This window comes from Homo sapiens, chromosome 22 (assembly GCF_000001405.40).
Source record: "Homo sapiens chromosome 22, GRCh38.p14 Primary Assembly".
NCBI lineage: Eukaryota > Metazoa > Chordata > Mammalia > Primates > Hominidae > Homo > Homo sapiens.
This window is the reverse complement of record NC_000022.11, coordinates 33,940,997-33,942,322: the sequence shown is the minus strand read 5'-3', so window position 1 is coordinate 33,942,322 and position 1,326 is coordinate 33,940,997.

Here is a 1,326-nt window from a genome sequence, read left to right as displayed (position 1 = left end):
CTAGTATCACAAACTGACAAATAAGAGCATGAAGGCTTCTACAAAAAGACAACTGAAATGATAAAGTAGATGGAAGGATCATGCTAATACAGGCTAACAATGATTGTACTTGATAGAATGAGACAGAGGGCTTTGGAGATTAGTTAATAAAATCATAAAGGTTAATAAGAAAAACAACAGTCATTATTTATTGGTCATCTATTATGTGGCAAGCATCATACAGTGAGACTTCTAATGCACAGGGTTTAGGGTTACAAACAACAGAAACCATTTCTGGTTAAGCAGAGCAGAAAAGGACATTTTGGGAAGGAAAGGCTGGTAAACTCCATACTGAAAACTGGCAGGAAATAACAGGGCCTGGGAAGCTGAGACCACAGGGAAGGACGTATCTCATAGTTAGTCTGTTTAGGACACGACCACATCTGAACCACTGCATGTGCCTCCCTGGGACTCTGTGGCTTTCACTTGGTCAGCCTCTATTGAGTGCACCATGTCTTAGCTGCCAGAGAAAGGGAATTTCTGCCCTTCCTCAGCTTCCTTATTGAAGGTGGAGTTGTATCTCACCAAGGTCCTTCCAAAAGAGAATTTCACCATAATAAGAATGATATTTTCCAGCTTCATCCATGTCCCCACAAAGGACATGAACTCATTCTTTTTTATGGCTGCATAATACTCCATGGTGTATATGTGCCACATTTTCTTTATCCAGTCTATCTTTGATGGGCATTTGGGTTGATTCCATGTCTTCGCTATTATAAATAGTGCTGCAATAAACATATACATTGGGGCCTGTTTGCGGGTGGGGAGAAAGGGAAGGGAGAGCATTAGGATAAATACCTAATGCATGCAGAGCTTAAAACCTAGATGACGGGTTGATAGGTGCAGCAAACCACCATGGCACATGTGTACCTATGTAACAACTCCGCACGTTCAGCACTTGTAACCCAGAACTTAAAGAAAATAAAATAAAATATATATTTAAAAAGAATTTATATACTGTACATTCTGAGACATTATCCTTAAAGAATTCTGAGCCAGAAAGAAAAAAGAATGATATTCAGTTGCTGCATAGTCTAACAGATAAATAAATGGTCACTGAGGTCCATAACCCTTCTTCCTATATTTAAAAAAAAAAAAAAGCCTTTAAGAGATTGCTCTCCACTAACATAATACCCATGCAGCTATCCTTTTTACAACTGAAAATGAGCTATGAAATGTTCTGTTTGAAACACTGCCTATGGTGAGATGGTGCTCCTTCACTCTCCTGCAAGACCACCCGTGAGGGCCACCACAGTGCTAGATCTTAGCTTATGTACACAGGGCAGA